This window comes from Homo sapiens, chromosome 16 (genome assembly GCF_000001405.40).
Source record: "Homo sapiens chromosome 16, GRCh38.p14 Primary Assembly".
NCBI lineage: Eukaryota > Metazoa > Chordata > Mammalia > Primates > Hominidae > Homo > Homo sapiens.
In genome coordinates, this window is record NC_000016.10 from 55,426,478 (window position 1) to 55,445,397 (window position 18,920).

General features: G+C 43.6%; 1 long non-coding RNA gene across 1 annotated transcript in view; it reads right to left on the reverse strand.

The window, feature by feature from the left end:
• Positions 1-319: 319 nt before the first annotated feature.
• Positions 320-18,920, reverse strand: part of MMP2-AS1 (MMP2 antisense RNA 1) — a 35,501-nt gene continuing 16,900 nt past the window's right edge. The window contains exons 4-7 of the long non-coding RNA NR_147198.1: positions 17,636-17,744; positions 2,884-3,003; positions 1,024-1,107; positions 320-493 (exon numbers count right to left, since the gene is read on the reverse strand). This is a non-coding gene — a long non-coding RNA (MMP2 antisense RNA 1). The remainder of the gene's footprint in view (positions 494-1,023; positions 1,108-2,883; positions 3,004-17,635; positions 17,745-18,920) is intronic.

Genomic DNA, 18,920 nt, shown 5'->3' on the forward strand with positions numbered 1-18,920 from the left:
CAGAAAGTAATAAGGGAAAAGAGGAAATTAAACCAAGTCTGCTCTCTCTCTCTCTCTCTCTCTCTCTCTCTCTCTCTCTCTCCCCCTCTGTCTCTGTCTCTCTTTCTCTCTCTATTGTTCTCCCTCTTACCTTTCTCTGATATTTTTTCCTCTTTGGTGTTGACAAATCACTGTCAGTAAGTGACATTCTCCCTTAAGAAACCTATCTGACACAGAGCACAAGGCGTGATGGTTGTTCATGGATCAGCCAGATTGAATTAAGGTTCAATTTCAGGTTAGAATCAGCTGGAAGAGATGAGACCCCCAAAATAGCAGTGGCTTCAGCAAAACAGAGCTTTATTTCTCCCTGGCGGGATCTTCAGGCTGGTGGCCCAGGTTTGGAGCAGCAATCCTCAGGTGCAGGGACCCTGTGCCTTCTGCCTTGCCACTCAGCATCATCACTGCATTTCTCAAGGTGGCTGCTGGGGTGCCAGCCTTTATGGGCAGTTCCAGCCTGCAGGAAGGAGGAAAGTGGAAAGAAAGGTGCATCCGCCTAGTAAGGGTGCTCTCCAGAAGTTGCACACACCACTTCCACATATGCCCATTGACTAGAATACGGTTAAGTCACATGATCACATTTAACTGCCAAAAAACCTGGGGCAATGTAGTGTTTATTCCAGGCAGCCAAGGATCCACTTAAAAGCTAAGGGTGTTTCTTATGAAGGAAGAACTGAAAATACATATTAAGGGACAACAAGCACATAGATTGAGGGAGCCAACCAGGAACATCAGGAGCCTCAGAGAGTCCCTCGAGAGACGAGCTCACATGGTGTGCTGGTATTTATTGCTACATAACAGCTTACCCCTAAATTTGGCAGCCTGAAACAGCAAACATGTTATCTCGTGCAATTTCTGAGGTCAGGGGTCTAGAAGCAGCAGAGCTGGGTGGTGCTTGCTCTCTAGAAAGGCTGCAGTCAAGCTGTCTGCTGAAGCTGAAGTCATCTTAAGCTCAATTGGGGCTAGAAAATCCACTTCCAAACTGACCTCACAGGGTTGTTGCTGGAGGCTTCAGTTCGTTGTCTTGTGGGCCTCTCCATTGGGCTGCTCACAACATAGTAGTTTGCTTTCCTCAGAGCAAGAGATCCAAGGAAGAGAAGAAGGAAAAGAGGAGAGAGAGAGAGAGAGAGAGAGAGAGAGAGAGAGAGAGAGAGAAAGTCATCTAAAATGGAAGCCACAGTCTTTTCTAACCCTTCTGAGAAGAGACACGTCCTCTCATCTGCTGTTTTCTTTTTGGCCACAGAGCCCAATCCTGGCACAATGTGGAGGAGGATATGAATCCCAGGAGGCAGGGATGACTGCAGGCATCTTGGAGGCTGACTACCAACCATGGATAGGTAAATGAGTGCCAGGAGTTAGGAGATCACACCTCGGTAGAGAGAGTTCCTTGAGCCAGGAAGACTATGCACAGGCTCAGGAAGGCTGGCTGGGCCTAAACAGAAGTGGGTCAAAGGTTAAGGAGTATGTCTCAGTCTATTTGGGCTGCCATAGCAAAATGCCATAGACTGGGTAACTCATAAATAGCAGAAACTGATTCCTCACAGTTCTGGAGGCTGGGAAGTCCAAGATCAAGTTACTGGCAGATTGGGTGTCTGGTGGGGGTCCATTCCTCATAGATGGCATCTTCTTGCTGAGTACTCAACATGACAGAAGGGGTGAACAAGCTCCCTGAGGTCTCTTTTATATGGGTACTAATCCCATCCATAAAGGCTCTGCCTTCAAGACCTCGTCACCTCCCAAAGGCCTCACCTCCTCATTTCATCACACTGGGGATGAGGTTTCAACCACTAATTTTTGGTGGGAGGAGACAAATATTTAGACCTTAGCAAAGTACAACAAAATGTTCCTGTGGTTGCTTTCTGATATTCACCCAATCACCCTGAAGGGACAAACCTTTCTACCACTTCAAAGAGGGAGACAATCTTACTAGCATGTAATAATCAGCACTGTTACCCACAGCTCAAGCCCTCACCCTAGAAACAAAGCCAAGACCACTAAGTGGGTAGGTGTCCTGGCTAAGTGTGGACACAGGGCACAATCAGAGATGTGAACACACAAAGAGCTTCACCAGCTTCTCACAGACCCTGCTTGCCTTTCGAAGTGATGAATACACATGGCCTGGTCATTCCAGAGACTAATAAGACCCCTCTGGCCCATTACCTGAAACTGGGGACCCAATACCATGCAGATGGACTGAGTCATTACAAAGGCAATTAAATGCCCAACTCCATAGCCAGGTGCCAACATGTAGGCTTTTGTGCATGGATAACTTAGTTCTTTCAGGAGGGGAAGAATCTTTAGTCTTATTTTCTCTCAAGCCTGGGGTTAATTGGGAAGCCAGCTTCGGTGACTAGTACACAGAGGCTAATTTGTACAACCATTGCTCACAAGTGGGTGGGGGGGATGACGGCAAAAAAAAATAAAAATACAACATTGCTGGAGACAGTCTGCCATTGAATTGGATCTTAATATTCTAGTCCATGAACCAGCGGTTGCACTAGAGCTTGGTTAAAAAAAAAAAAAAAGCAGGAAAAACCCACACACATTCTTTCAATTTCTAAAGGGAAATTTGACTCGGGCTGTAGAACAAAGGACGAAGAAATAGAAGTAAAAGAAAATCAAAGAAAAAGTTATTTGGATTCAAGGGGATCAGATGTTTCATTTATTGCAGGTTGGAGACCTTCAATCAGCCAAATGAAAGGAACATTTGTATTAAAATACCTATGAGGCAGAGAGAAAGCCTTGATCGGGTGCAGCAGAGTTAAGTTACAGCAATCGTGCTGAGAGATATGAACCCACCTTCGAGGTTATCTGTTCCCAATATTGAAGGTTTTCTGTGTTACAAACCTGAGATGAAAGGTAGTTGTTTTGACGTCTGGGTCTGGAAGGCAGACGCTGAAATTAGCAGCATTCTTGATGTGTGTGCAGCAGGAACATGGAGCCCGGGATGGGGTGAAAATGTAGCTGCTTTATTAAAAGGAAACGATGTTAATGCAACACTAAGTGCCCAAGTCACCCATGAGGGTAGGGTGTAGATGGGGATTACAAAAACACCTTCTGAGAAGGGGCAGAGAAGGAGCACTGCACTAGGGGTCTGGGACCAAAGGTATAGCCCCTCCTCTGACCCTGGGTTGGTAGCTCCAAAATAGCTGGGACTTAGCCTGTCTAGTTCACAGTGCCAGGCATATAGGAGGTGTTTGATATATGTCAAACAAATGCATGAATGAATAAATGAATATGAACTTGGGCCTCTTTGGACCTAAGTCTTACAAAATAAGGAGCTGGGACTAACTATGGATTTCTCCAGTGGGATGAATACCACTGATGGTTGGGCAGCACATGGATGGGTTTGGGTGACATGCAAAGACATGGTATTAAACAGTACTAACTCAGAGAGAGAAAGGTATCACTTCTGGACTCTTTCTAGCCTCTGACTCCCTCTAAGAGAAAGTCTCAATCCAATGCTAACATCTCTTTAACACCTCTGCAATGTTTTCAACCCTCTCTTCATAATGATAAGAGGGGAAGGCCCAGGCTCACATCCTCAGCAGGCATCAGCATCCAACTCCATTTCATAACTTGATTTATTTCCTTTGTACTTAATTTCACAGTTGCCTTTCTATGTATGGCAAGTGATAGTTTTTCCTTGGCAGAACTGATCTTTTTAGGGTTTCTTTGTCAGACAGATGTTTCTAAGTAAGCACGAATTGATGTAAAGCCACCATTAAGGAAATAACAGCTCAAGTGGGATGCAGACAAGGAAAATATCATGATGATGAGAGATGGTTTGGAAAAAAAAAAAAAGAAATTGTCCCAGCTGACCTTGAAGGTCTCTTCTGGAAACACTGAGCATCTGAAGTCTAGGACTCCACTCTTCTGGTTTATGTAGAGCAAATCCAGCAGTCTCTAGCAAAGAGGTGACTGCAATCCGAACCTTTGGAAGATGGGCCTATTCATGTATCCATTTATTCATTCTCTCAATAAGTATTTATCAAGAGCATATTATATGTGCACTGCTGTTCCAGGCACTGGGATAGTAGTGAAAGAAAAATAGGGAAAAAGTCTCTGCCCTCATGGAGTTTCTGTTTTAGTGGTTTGAGGCAAGACAGGGACCAGGGCAGGTAAATGAGGCACTGAGGGTGTGTAATGTAAGGAGGCACCTGGTCTCAGGACTGCGCATGACCTTGACCTGACTTGAGACGAGTTTCCCATCCTGACCGTAACCTGGCATAGTTGTCATCATTCTGGGGGCCACAAATCCTGTCCCTGGAGGGTCTGGTGTAATTGCTCTTTGGTGGGTCCCCAGACTAGTATCTGGGGAGAGCAACAAAGATTATTCCCATCCACTTCCAGGATTGAGAACCACTGACATGGACCAAGAAACCTTCAAATTTTTTGATTTGGCACTTTTCAAAGGCATCAACCTTCTTAGTCACTAAGTCGATCTTCACTTACCAAATAAATTAACTAATGAGTGAGTTGGTATGTTGTCACTCACCATAATGACAAAAATACTCCTGTCCTCTGCCTCCTTACCAGGTGTCAGGTAATATCATTCACTTTTTTTTTTTTAAATGAAGTCTCGTTCTGTCTCCCATGCTGGAGAACAGTGGCCAGATCTCGGCTCAATGCAACCTCCGCCTCCCAGGTTCAAGTGATGCTCATGTCTCAGCCTTCCAATAGCTGGGATTACAGGTGCGCACCACCACGCCTGGCTAATTTTTGTATTTTTAATAGAGATGGGGTTTCGCCATGTTGGCCAGGCTGGTCTCAAACTCCTGACCTCAAGTGATCCACCTGCCTCAGCCTCCCAAAGTGCTGGGATTATAGGCATGAGCCACTGTGCCCGGCTTCATTCACTCTTTACATTTCTTGTTTCATTCCATCTTCACAATCACCTACAAGATAGGTGTTATTATCATCATCACCCCCTTTTGAAGATGAGGACACTGAAGGAAAGAGAAGTTAAGGAGCTTAACCCCAGCCCAACAAAACTTGCTAACTTTACCCAAGCTAACTTAGCCAAAGAAAACCCAGAAGGGCCATGCTCCTAACCCCTGTGCCCTACTGCTTCTCTATGGGATGAGTCTCAATGCCTGGGGACTTGGTCACAGGAGTTACAGCAAAGAGAGTGCATGTGAAAATGAGTGAAGTAAGGAGTCCTTTGTACCTTAAAGATAGCACATAGGAATAATTGTCACTTCCACCAAAAAATGTGTTCCTTCTCATTCTTCTCCAAACATGAGTCTAATTCTAGGTTCATTTTGCTTCCATGTCTGTTAAAGCCACAGCCATACAACTGTGGTCCTCTATATAAGAAAAAAGCAACAGTGCAAGCATGGTATTACATAACAACACATCCCCTGGTATTGGGGAAGTCTTGGGGCATGGTGGGGAGTGTGGCTAATTGGGAAGAGGAGCCTGTCCAATGTCTCCAGATTTCCTGACTTATCAAAAGAAATAAGAAATTTAGATTTAGTTGAGCCAGGCGCTGTGGCTCACGTCTGTAATCCCAGCACTTTGGGAGGCCAAGGCGGGCAGATCACGAGGTCAGGAGATCAAGACCATCCTGGTTAACATGGTGAAACCCCATCTCCACAAAAATACAAAAAATTAGCCAGGTGTGGTGGCGGGCGCCTATAGTCCCAGCTACTCAGGAGGCTGAGGTAGGAGAATGGCATGAACCCGGGAGGCAGAGCTTGCAGTGAGCCGAGATTGCACCACTGCACTTCAGCCTGGGCGACAGAGCAAGACTCCATCTCAAAAAAAAAAAAAAAAAAGAAATGAAATTTAGATTTAGTTGTGAAATCATTGAATTTCCAAGGGGGCTCTAATTTATAAGTAACTGCATGGGATAAATACATGCTTTGGAAAACCTGAGTGTGAAGTCTTCTGGAAATGACCAAGCTAGAGAAGAAGTCTTAGGAATCTACTCTAAGATCACTGAGTGATCTAGGACAAGCTCTGGGGTTTCTCTGTGCCATGAATCTAAAGCTGTAAAAAGGATATGAAAAATATTATTTATTCATTCTTCAACTTTTAGCAACAACTTCTATATATTAAACACTGTGCCAGATGGGGGGTTTAAAGATTAAATCAATATGCTTATCATTGAGTGAGGGAGATGCTGGACTGTGAACTCTAGGTCCACAGGGTAAGAACAGCTGTGAAATAAGAACAGGGAGCACACGGGGAAGGCTGGTAGTTCTGCCTGGAAGAGATGACATTTCAACCAGGGCTTGAAGGCTGAATGTGAATCTCCAAGGCAGCAAAGGAAGAAAGAAAATGACTTTTCCTTGATTCCAAAGTGCTCTGTAGACCAATACAACATGAATCTTTTATAAGTTTGAAAAACATGCATATAGTCCCATAAATTGAAGAGTGAGCAAACTGATCCTACAACCCCCCAAACCATCTTTGTCTCACATATTAATTACAGGGTGAGCATCCCAAATCCGAACATCCAAAATCAGAAGTTTTTTGAGCACTGACCTGATGCTCAATGGAAATGCTCATCGGAGTATTTCAGATTTCAAATTTTTGGATTTAGGATGCTCAACTGGTAAGCCTAATGCAAATATTCCAAAATCCAAAAAAGACTGAAATTCAAAGCATTTCTGGTCTCAAGCATTTTAGATAAGGGATACTCAACCTGTACTTATCTAAGTGTAAAACCAGACTCGTTGGACTTTGGACTTTTCCCAGAGCTGTTTTTCCCTCCTCTGTCTTACTGGAGTCACCGTCGTCCAGGAGCCCAGGTTACACATTTTGGTGCTGTCTCTAGCTCTACCCTTTTCCTCTCCCTGCATATGTGACCCAGGGAAGGGTCTCTCTCATGGTGCTGACTTGCTGGCCCCCCGAGCCATGCCTCTGCCAATGCAGACTTTTGTCTCCTGCATGGACTCTTGCTGTTGTTTTCTCTCTGCTCCTCCTGTCTCTTGTCTCTCCTCCAGTCAATCCATTGCTCTTTCCAAAACTCAGATCTGACTATGTTGCTCTCTGGCTTAAATTTACAATGGCTCCCACTGACCTCAGATCAAAGCCAGCAGTGTAGCATGGCATTCGGACTCTGGGCCCCGCCTATCCTTCCTCACCATCACCATCCTTTTGCCAACACTCCCCTGAAAACTACACTCACGGGCACACTATATTTCTACTCACCACATGCTCCCTTCACATGCCTGGCAACTTCCTAGCTCTGTGGCCTGCTACAGGCTCTTTTCTCATCTTCGCATGACTTTCCTGCCATTTTTAGCCATAGAACCACAGCCATGCCAAGTATTCCCTTCTCTGGAAACCTTCCCTTTCTGTTGTCCCCTGCTGTCCCCCGCCTCCCCCATGCTGACACACAGCAGGCTAGAGATAGGAGAGGAGAAGGAAAATGAGGCAGGTAGGTAGGGTCTTGAAAGTCAGAGAGGGAAAAGCCTTTTGAAAAAATCACTTTTGCAAAAGCCTCCACCCCAACTCAGCAGAACCCTTTCACCAAACATGGAGATCCACCCGCAGAAAGAAAGAGAAAGCAATTTCACACATTGGTAAAAGGCCTGTGGCAGAAGAAAAGGAAAAGCCACCAGTTGGCAGTAGGTGGTACAGAGATCCAGCAGGAAAGCCCAATCAAATGGGAGATTGGGACATTTCTGGGAAGCATATGGGCCCCAGCCCTCGCTGGCTGACACTCCTGTCTGAGAAGGAGGGCAGCCAGTTGTCCAAAAAGTTCGGGCAGCCACGTGTCAGGCCTTGTTCATGGCCAAGAAGAGCAGGAAGGTTGACTGTTCTAGGGCAGAGCAGGCACATGGGTGTTTCTGCATCATTCACCTGGAAGGGCAACATTTCCAACAGGGGCATCTTCTTTTCTGCCTTCAGCAACCATTTTCTGTTAATGCATAGTCTCAAACTCAAACACCTGGGCAGGCAGGTGACGAGAGAGAATAATGTCATCTAGTGGGACTGGGAAGAGAAGACTGTGCCCATGACAAACAGGCACACCCTCTCCTCGGCTCCAGCTGACTGTCATGAGATCCGCAGGCTTTTCTAGAAATGTTGGATATTGAAACTTTCATAGGAAGTCTTCTGTTATTAAAATGTTTGCTCATTCCGCCCCTGCCCCCCAACCCCGGCCACCCAGGCTGGAGTGTAGTGGCTCACTGCACTCACTGCACCTCAGCTCACTGCAACCTCTCCCTCCCAGGTTCAAGCGATTCTCCTGCCTCAGCCTCCCAAGTAGCTGGGATTACAGGCGTCCACCACCATGTCTGGCTAATTTTTGTATTTTTAGTAGAGATGGGGTTTCACCATGTTGACCAGGATTGTCTCAAACTCCTAACCTCAGGTGATTTACCTACCTTGGCCTCCCAAAGCACTGAGATTATAGGCATGAGCCACCATGTCTGGCCTGTTTGCTCAATTTCTAATTTCTAAAAACATGGTACAGTGCAAAAGAAACAAGGCCACCAGTGCCTGAACACTAATGTATAGGTTCAGATTAAGCACATTAACTCTGAGCAAATAAATATGGCCCTTAAGTCGGCAAGACTCCATCTCTTAGGCTGATAATGGATAATCTGCCATTTAGTTGGATTTTTCTGAATACGTAGGTATTTGGCTCTGCAGAAACTGGGTTTCAGTATGCAAGAATATCCGCAAATATTTCTCTGTGCATTCCCTGGTTATCACCCCTGGAGGTGAAAGCAGTGCCTCTATTATTATTAATGTTTTAATTTCAAGACAAGAAGAGTTCTTAGACATCAGCTAGCCTTGTCTCCCTGCCACAATTTTGCAGTTCAGGAAACCGAGGCCCAGGGAGGGGACGAGCTTGTTTGGGGACACAGAACAAGTTGGAACTTCCATCAGCACGTTGGGAGTATTTACGGATCATACACACCCACACAAGTCTGGGTTTGTGTTTTCCCTGGTCCTCAAGAAAAAGCCCACCGGGTTGCCAGATGTGCCGAGCTCAAAGGAGTCCAAGGAAGTGGTTTAACAGCGATGAGAAGCAGGCCCAGTCAGGGGTATAATCTGGCCTTCCCATCAGCCTCGCCTTTCTGCCTACAGGAGATAAGAGGCTGGTGTGGAGGAAACTGATATACAGCCACACGCCACAGAAATCATGTCCTTCTGCAGGCTTGGGCCACCTCCTCTCCCAGTCTTAGGCTTATGTGAAGCCTCAGAACCCTGGAGCCCATGTGTGAATGAGAAGCATCTACCTTGGCTGAGTCCTGTCCTTTCCCCTTTTCCTTCCATTTCTCATGGTCCCCTCTTTTCCCAAGGCTTCTGTTGAAAGAAAGTGCTTGAAATGTGCATTTCTGCTTTGTGTGCCAGCTCTTGCATTTCTTTACAGAAACTGCAGAAGAGAGAGCAATGCTTACCTCAAAGGCGTGAGGTTCCAATGGTGGAACTACCATTAGAGCCTGTTTGGCCTTGAGGGACCTCCCGGTCAATGTCAGATGATAGCTCTTGAGGGACCCCTTTCTCCAGCTCCTGGGAAGCTTTCCCTGAAGCTCAAGGGGACTCTGTCTCTCCGGGCTCTCTTGCCTCCCTCATCCCATTTATTGTCATGTCAGAGCAGACCTTGGCTACAAATTCCCTATTTTCACTTTTAAAACTACGTCAATACATATGTGTGTCTGTGAGTTTGTATGATGGGGGTGAGGGAAGGGGAGAAGAGGGGATGAGAGAAGGGAAGAGGGGAAGGGAGGGGAGGAGAAGAGAGGGGAGGTGAGGAGAGGAAAGAAGAGGAGCGGAGAGGAGGGGAGGGGGACAGACATGGGCCAGAGGAGAGAGGAGGGAGGGGAGAGGGAGAGTGAATCACCTGCTATGTGTTCAAATCCTCCCAACAATCAACCATCCTGTGAAGCAGGTCTTCTTGCCCCATTTTCCAAATGAGGACCCTGAGGCTCCCCTTGTCCTCTCCACCACTTGCTTTCACTTCCTTCCTCTCCTGTGCACTCCTCCTTTCCTACCTGAACATTATCTTCATTCCCAAATTTGGAGTTGGTCCTGTGTTCCCCTGAACATTATCTTCATTCCCAAATTTGGAGTTGGTCCTGTGTTCCTGGGGGCACGTTGCCGGTGCATAGGTGTGGGGCTGCAAGCCTGCAGTCCGTCTCACCATGGGGCTCCATGCAGTGGAGTTTATTCCTGGATGGACATCTGGACCTGCAAGATTTATGGGGACCCACAAGATGCTGCCAAAGGCTCTTTTTATGGGTAGTTGCAACACAGAACAGAATATCACTGTGGTCAGGCACCCTGGAGACAGAGAGAGCAGGGGTGCCTGACTGGCTGTGCATCCAACAAATGGGGCAGTACTAACTAGTCCTAGTGCTAGTACTTACCTCATAGGATTATTGCGAGGATGAGCTAAGATAATGGGGTGTTTCCAGAGGTGCAGAGACCACGGGTGGTATTGAAAATGATTTGAAATAATGCACAGACAAGGCATTAAATAGCACTGACTCAAACAGTAAGTGTATTAGGTCCTTTTTAGCTCTCTTTGAATTCTTCTAATTACGTCAAGAAAGTCTCCAGTTGATGCTATTGTGTCTTTAATGCCTAACAAGTACTAATTATTTTTGTTGTTTTGTTCTCTGTGTTTTAACAAAGGGAGTGAAGACTTCAGGCTCAGAGTCCCACTGCAGGCAACAGTGTCTAGGTAGAACTTAATACATATTTTCTTTTTTATTGGAATAATTTTTATGGTTAGTGGTTTTCTATTCACAGAAATAGTATAAAATTTTCTGTGTGAGTAAATGGATTTAGGTTTTAAAAGCAGATCCATTTAAAGGGGAGAACAGCATTAAGTAGATCATAGTATCAATAACATTCAAATATGTCCAAAATTATAAAAGGAGCCCACAGTGATGAAATTTTCAGAATCATTGAGATAATCCACGTCAAGAGCACAGTGGTGGTTATTACTCTTCTGGTGTTGACCCAAGAGTTTCCACATCTAAAACAGGTGGGACAAACTAGGTAGTTTGGGCCCTTCCAACTCTGAGGATCCAAAGTCCTTACTTATTTAGTACCTTGTTTTCCTCTGTCAGGTTCAAAGACAGATTCTCCAATGAGTGATCTTCATCAAATGAAGCTTGGGCTACTCCCAAGGAATCCTGCCACTCTGGAAGATGTTTGATGCAAAATATCTCTGGGGTCAGACAAGTCGACTTATGCTTTCTGAGTCTCAGTTCTTCATCTGCAAAATGCTGTGCCTGATAGCACTAACCTCCGGGTTCTGTAGATTTCATAAGATTATGTAATGTAGCACAAAATGTGAAAAAGTGACCACGAGATATGTATCAATGCCCAGACAAGGCATTGAGTAATACTGACTCACACAGCAAGTTTCCCTATTGCATCAATGAGAAAGTCTCAGTCTGGTAATAATATTGCCTAAGTGCTTTTCTTACACCTGCCAAATAACCCTTTAATTAAGTAGAGGGAAAGGCCTCAAGGCCTTAGGCTTTTGGCAGGCAATAAGATCCAACTGGGATATTAGAGATAGGCTTAGAGGAATATGAAGACTATATCCCCACATTAGCCCTGGGAACAGAACAGGAGCCAAGGGACAGTGGTATTTGAGCTGACCCCTGAAGAGACAGAAAGATTCCTCCAGGCAAAACATACTGGAAAGATGTACAAGGCATCAGGAAAAGCAATCCCTTAAAATCAGGAGGCCTTAGCCAGGTTTGTGCTACAGACCCTCCAGGGGAGGTCTATGGACCTCCTTATGGAATAATGTGGGTTTTAAAATGTGAGATGAAAATATTGGCATTGTTCTTGTGGATTTTTAAATAGTGATAAAATATACATGACATAAAATGTATTATTTTAACTATTTTTAAGTGTACAAGTCAGTGACATTAAGTATTCACATTATTGTATAGCCACCACCATATCCATCTACAGAACTGTATCTTCCCAACCTGGAAGTCTACACCCATTAACAATACCACTCATTATTTCCTCCTTTCCCATCTTGGGGCAATCATCACTCTACTTCCTGTGAATGAACTTGACTGCTCTACATATCCCATGTGAGTGGAATCATATAGTATTTGTCCTTTTTTAATTATCCTATTTATCCCAAGTCAGGCTTACTTCACTTAGCATAGTCTTCAAGGCTCATTCCAGAATAATGTCATTGCATGCATAAAATTTACAAAACAGCATTACAAAGAAAAGTTATATTAAATAACAGTTATCTAAATAATTATTTAAATTAATATAGTAATATGTGGGCTTTTATTAACCAAGATATAATAAGATATAGAGGTGGGTCTACTCATCACTATAATTTCCAGAGAGTAGTGAGTCTGTTTCAAGATACTCTGTAGCAACTATAATGTGATATGAAAATATCTGTGATATCTATTAATGACGAAGTCACAAAAGTCCCATGTAGTGCTGATACAATTTTAGTTGTTGCCTACATTCAGAATTGAAGGAAATGCTAACTGTCAGTTAGAAGTTAGCAAAAATTTAAAAATACATTTTTTTTTCCCATTCAAGCTAAGAATTCCATGGAATTCTTAGAAGTCTTCCATTTCATGGAACCCAGGTTAAGAATCTTCACCCCATGAAAGGAATATTTTTATTCTTCATAAGTTTATTTCATTCTTGGTCCAGAGGTGAGGCAAAGATCAGCTCCTCTCAGCTTCTACTTGGCCCCAGAAACCAACTCTTTGGCATAGACAGTAAGGCTGGGTTTTGGACACGAAACATTTTTCATTAACCCCCACCCACCCCGCCCAGGTATTATGTTTGAAAAGCAGTCTGTGACAGGGAGTGGTTAAAACAGAAGACAAGTTTGTTTCACTCCAAAATCTCTTCCATTTGGTCTCATGGTTCATTAGTATTTGTTGTGCAACACCAAAAAAAAAAAAAAATGCACTCAGATGTAAATGCAGGGACGGCCCAAAACACAGGAGACACTCCACGTGTCTAGACAGCAATGTTCTAACCAACAGAGGAGACACACTGCGCTGTTCATAGTAGTTGCTTAATTTTTCTCATCTGCAAACAGGCTATGGATTGCCAACCTTTAATTAAGAAACAGTTTTCTTTTCAAAAAGAATGTGTTCTAATAAATACCAGCTGAGCTGGGATGGAGGCGCTATAGAAATTACAACTGCAGCTGAAAAACCATGAGACTTGCAGCAGGCTAACCATGAAGACCTTCAGGAAAGGAATAGTTTCCATGTGCTTTGGAGATGAGGACATGCCTCGTGGGCTATGCTCCTTGGCTTCAAAGCCAAGCCACAGCGCCGGTGCTGTGGGTTCTGCCTTCTTGGGCAGAGAGAGGACAGAAAGAGGCAGAAAGACAGTGAGGCAGGGTATTGGCTTAAATGACCTCTGCCTTGACATTCTATGACTTTAAAATCAAAGAGGTACTCAGGGTAAGGTTAGAAGTGTTCTTACTACAGCTGATATCATTGACTTTGCAAAAGGGAGTTCCTAGCAAAGAAAATGTTTCTTCAGATTGAAGTGTCTTGGTATTTGAAATGTCTTAGCATCCCTGTGACCCTCCCTCCACACGTAGTGTTGCCAGATAAAATGCAAGATGTCCAGTTAAATTTGAACATCAGATTAAAAATGAATAATTTTCAGTGTACATATATCCCGTGCAATAAGCTAAAAATATACAAAAGCATTATTTGTTGTTTATCTGAAATTCAAACTTAACTGTGTGTCCTGTATTTTTACTTACTAAATCGGCCAACTCTACTCCCACTCAAACCAGATCTTTCCTCCGATCCACTTTCCTCCAGTTCTTTGTAGAGAAATGCCAGGCCAGCCTGGCACAGACTGAGGTCAACTTAGAGACATGTGTACAGTCAGCATAATGGTTAAGAACACCAACTTTGGAGTCTCAAAGACTTAAAGTAGCCTTCAACTCAAGCCTGTCGCTTTTTGATGGGTTTATCTTGAGAAGCTTTCATGACCTCCCAGGGCCTCAGCTTTGTCCTTTGCAGAATGGGGAGATTGAAAGTCACGGCTGATGTTCAGCCATATCCAATAGTACAAAATCCATACCAGCAGTTTAAAAATTAGAGCATTTCCCAGGCCAGTTGTCAAATAGCTTCCCAATCTCCCCTTCATTGTGCCAGGCACCCTGGCTCCTCCCCACCTCTTTCCTCATCTAGCAACAAATACCTGGCACAGTCAGGGGTCTCCAGGACCCTGTTCTAGTGTTTAACTCAGTGTTCTTTCTGATTGGCAAGTATCTGTGGCTTATTGATAGTTAAATAAATTGACAACCACTCCTGTTAGGAATACCCACCTCAAAGGTTGTTGTAAGGGGTAGGTGAAATGATGTGAAAGAACTGTGATATAGGGTTTGGCCCAGAGATCTCTCTCTCACACACACACACACACAGAATGAATGAATGAATGAATGAATCCCTGTGCTACTTATAAGGAAGAGCCTTGCCTTTTTTTGCACATGGCAAACCATTCTCTCTCTCTCTCTCTCTCTCTTTAATAAACCTTAAAGATCATTCTACTTCTAGTTTAATTTCTTCCTCTTTACATGGAGGAAAACTGAGATTAGGCATAATTTACTGACTTATCTAAACAAGTCCACTTTTATGCATTGTAGGTTTGAGGGATCGTTGGAAAGATCTTTTGCTCAAAAACATTCCTTTCATCCAACTGCCACAAAGCCTGAAATTTCACCATTAGCATTTTAGCCATCTTTAAAAATTGCACTAACACTTATCAAGATATTTCTCAAAGCCCACTCTCTTTAAGCTAGAAATGACCCAGGGTCATCCTGAGAACCTCAAGCGCTGGGCTGGAGGGTGGTAAAAAAGAGATTCTGAAAGAAGTTGAAAGGAGACCTGGGACGTGCCAAAGACACATGCGTCCAACTTTAAAACTGTGTGACTGGCTGGCTATGCATTAGATTGTCCCACTGGGGCAGTTGTGCATTTGTGCTGTTGCATAATACAGAAGGACAAAAAGCATAAATACTAACTGATCACTTCATTCAAAAGAACTTCCCAAAAGGAAGCCAGACCCCTTTGATGCTGCCTTATGCTTAGGCAAAGCTAAAAGTCGTTTTTATACTGTTGGTCAAGGGTTTTTCAACTGGATGCCTGGAAATGTTTTTCACAGATCTACAAAGCATGGATCATACAACAAAGCCTCAAAATATACAGGGGCAAAAATCTAGCTGGGATTGTATCCATTCATATATACAAGTTGGTTCCACCACTGGGTTAATGCTAACTGCTGGAGTCCAGCATCTCTTGTATTAGATATATCTTTATCCGCTGACAGTTGAATTCGATCCACCTGCACATTATTTTGAGGACAGGTGTTGAGAGCTAACCAGTTGCTGGTATAGGCTAGTCTGTTTCCCCCAGAACACAATATTGTCCTGTGCTGTGTAATGGTGTTTCGGTCAATGACAGGCTGCATATATGACAGTGGTCCCATAAGATTATAACGGAGATGAAAAATTCATATCACCTAGTGACACGGTAGCCATTGTAATACTGTAGTGCAATTACTTTATTTTTTATAAATTTAGCATGGCCTAAGTCTACAGTGTTTATAAAGTCTCTAGTGGTATACAGTAATGTCCTGGGCCTTCACCTTCACTCACCACTCACTCACTGACTCACACAGAACAAATTCCAGTGCTGCAAGCTCCATTCACAGTAAGTGCCCTATACAGGTGTACCATTCTCTACTTTTTATACCATAATTTTACTGGACCTTTTCTATATTTACATATGTAAATGCTTACCACGGTGTTACAATTACCTACAGTATTCAGTGTGATACATGCTATACCGGTTTGTAGCCTAGGAGCAAAAGGCTATTCCATATAGCTTATACCATCTAGGTGTGTGTAAGTACACTGTATGAGGTTGGCACAATGATGAAATAGCCTCTCAGAACACATCCCCATCCGTCACCAACACATGACTGTAAAATTCAACATCCAATCATTTGACTGATTTAGTTTAGAAGATCAGAATCTAAAGAAATTTTTTTTAAACTTCTGGAAAAACAGGGGTTAAAATTCTGGCACTTTTCTTCAAACATCAATATTTGTGACTTATTAATTACCAATGGATGATCACCAAACGAGGAAGGATCTTCCCATCAGAGTCTAATTAGTTTCATTGTCTTTTTTTTTTTCTGGATTCCATTGTATTTCACTCTACCCTTCGGCTGCCTGTTTTAATTAATGTTGCACTACATTCAAAGGTTTTGCTTTTGTGCCTCTCTGTTTGATTTAAATTCCTTTTTGCAAATAAATAAATAAATAAATAACTATCAAAGCTAATGAGGCTCTGAAGATTTGAGATGTAAATATCATATGCAGATTCTTTTTTGGTCCCAGCTCAGCGGAAGACCAAAAATAACACTTGAAAGTTTGATTAAGAAATCTCAGGCTCCCCATCTCATGCCTCCCTCCAGACAATCTTTCTGCTGGCATTTTCAGTTATTTGACAAAAAAAAAAAATCAAGCCCCCCAAACCCAAAACCTCAAGAGCAAGCTCCTTTCAAGACTGGCTCAGATGGGCATGGTATTGTGCTGAGCTGCTATTTAAGATCCAGCCCGGACTGACTGATTCCTGTCTGTCCTGAGAGATCTGTGCATGTCAATGCATCCACTCACCACACACACACACACACACACACCTTCATATGCATCCACAGACACACAAAATTATTTTCACACACAAACTCATCCATATTCATACACGCATACCCTCATGCCCACTCACCAATGAAAACTCGAAACACACATATTTCCACACATGCAAACTCATCCATGTTCATACACACATACCTTCATATACACTCACCAACACAAACTCACAACACACATTTTCACACATGCAAACTCATCCATATTCATACACACATACCCTCATACACACTCACCAATAAAAACTTGCAACACAGACATTTTCACACATGCAAACTCACCCATATTCATACACACATACCCTCATACACAGTCACCAACACAAACTCACAACACACACATTTTCACACTCATACGTGCGCGAACTCACACACTGATATACACATACTCACCCACATGTAAGTAGACTCATACACATTCCTGCATGCATTCACACACAGTTTCCATATGCACACACATTCTCCCACACACCTGACACATACATCATGCTTTCGCAGATCAAGTTTCCAGTTTCACATCTGTGTCACCTCCAGTACATTTTCGTACACACCCTCAAAAGACATCTCTGCAAGAAATTCCAAGACTCCCCACCCCCTTCCTGGCCCACCATCGTCCTTTTGGGTGTATTCAGGGGCAGCCTGGGGCACAGTTATTAAACTGTATCCCAAAGAGCTCTTCCACTATGCAATCTGCTTTTGCCTGAGATCTCTGTATCCTTTACTGAGAAAGTCTGATTCATTTCCCAGAAATTTTTATCTGCTATTAATCTTTCAGGATATAGTTAGTGTTGTGATATATTCAGATATTGTTTTTGGGTGGCAGGGGGAGGGGAGGGCAGATTTCAAGTGGCCGTCCCCTGGCAGTTTCAGAGATTACTCAGTGCTTATAAGCAGCTCAGAACTGTGTGACAGCATTTCCAAGCAAGGGACTTACAATCATGTTTCATTAATTCGACGTGAATGAAGCCTCATTTCTGGCCTTGAGGAGCTTAAGATGTATGTGAAATTAATAACAGAACAGATGTCTTCACAATTTGGTTCCTCTGGAAAAAAAAAAAAAAAAGGAACCTGATTACTTTGAAAATTTCAATGCTTTAAAATGCAGACCCAGGGAGTTTTTACTCCAGGGTAAAGAGTTATGCCTTGATATCGTCCACGTCTCATAACTAAGTGGAATTTAAATGTCAGGTTTATATTAAATAGTCATATTCCCCATCATGACATATAATAAACAACAGCTTATTACTTTCATTAATAAGATGTGTTGGACATTTAAACTAAAGCTTTGGAGATAAAGCCTGTACCTCCTGAGCAGGAGGTGCTGGGGAGACACAGGGGACACGTCGGGGAATATTCAGGCAGCCTGGTTTTTAGCTTTCTGATAATTTAATCATTGATTCCTCATAGGAAAACAAAATGCATCTGTGCTCACACAGAACTCACCACTTTATAAAGAAGTTGAGCCGTCTCCCACGGATGTGTGTGCCGGAGGCCGAATGTTGTGTTTCACAGGACACTTGAAGTCCTGCCTCTTTATTATTTCTTCCTGCCTGAAATCTTGTTTCTTTATCTAGGCTTCTGTGACACTAAGTGCCCCTCAAGCTGAATTTTAACTACTCCTCAGGGCGCAAGTGTGACTGCACACCAGGGGGGCTGGGTTTTTATTTCTGAAAGTCCAAAGGGGAACAGTGTAATGGAAAAATTACCCAAAGGGAAGTTATTCTGGAGGAGCAGGAAGAGAGAGCAAAGGCCCCCAGGCACATGGCCAGGAGTTCCCCTTGCCCTGGGTAGACAAGTGAATGAAGCTTTCAGGGGAAAGCAGTGCTAAATGGGGAAGCCCAGGGTTCACGTTAGGTCTCAGAATCTGGTCTACTGTAATGACCATAACAACCACTGTAATGACCCTTCTCTCTTTCCAGGGCCACTACGTGTCCTTGAAACTGTCAACTTCCCCACTTTCCCCCATGGAGAAAACAAGAGCATTAGACCAAATGACCTGCCAGCTTCTCACTTTGACATTCTCCATATCCTCTAAATTTGGCTTCCATGACATTTATTTTACTATGTCTACCTACTCCTCTCCACCTCCTTCCTCTCACAACTGGACTGGGTGTGGGGTGCCATGGTACAGTCACCTCTGCTGATTGCCCCAGATACAAAGGTCAAAAGAAGCTCGCAGGGCAGGAGGTCTTCTCTGGTCCCAGCTCTCCCTAGGGATG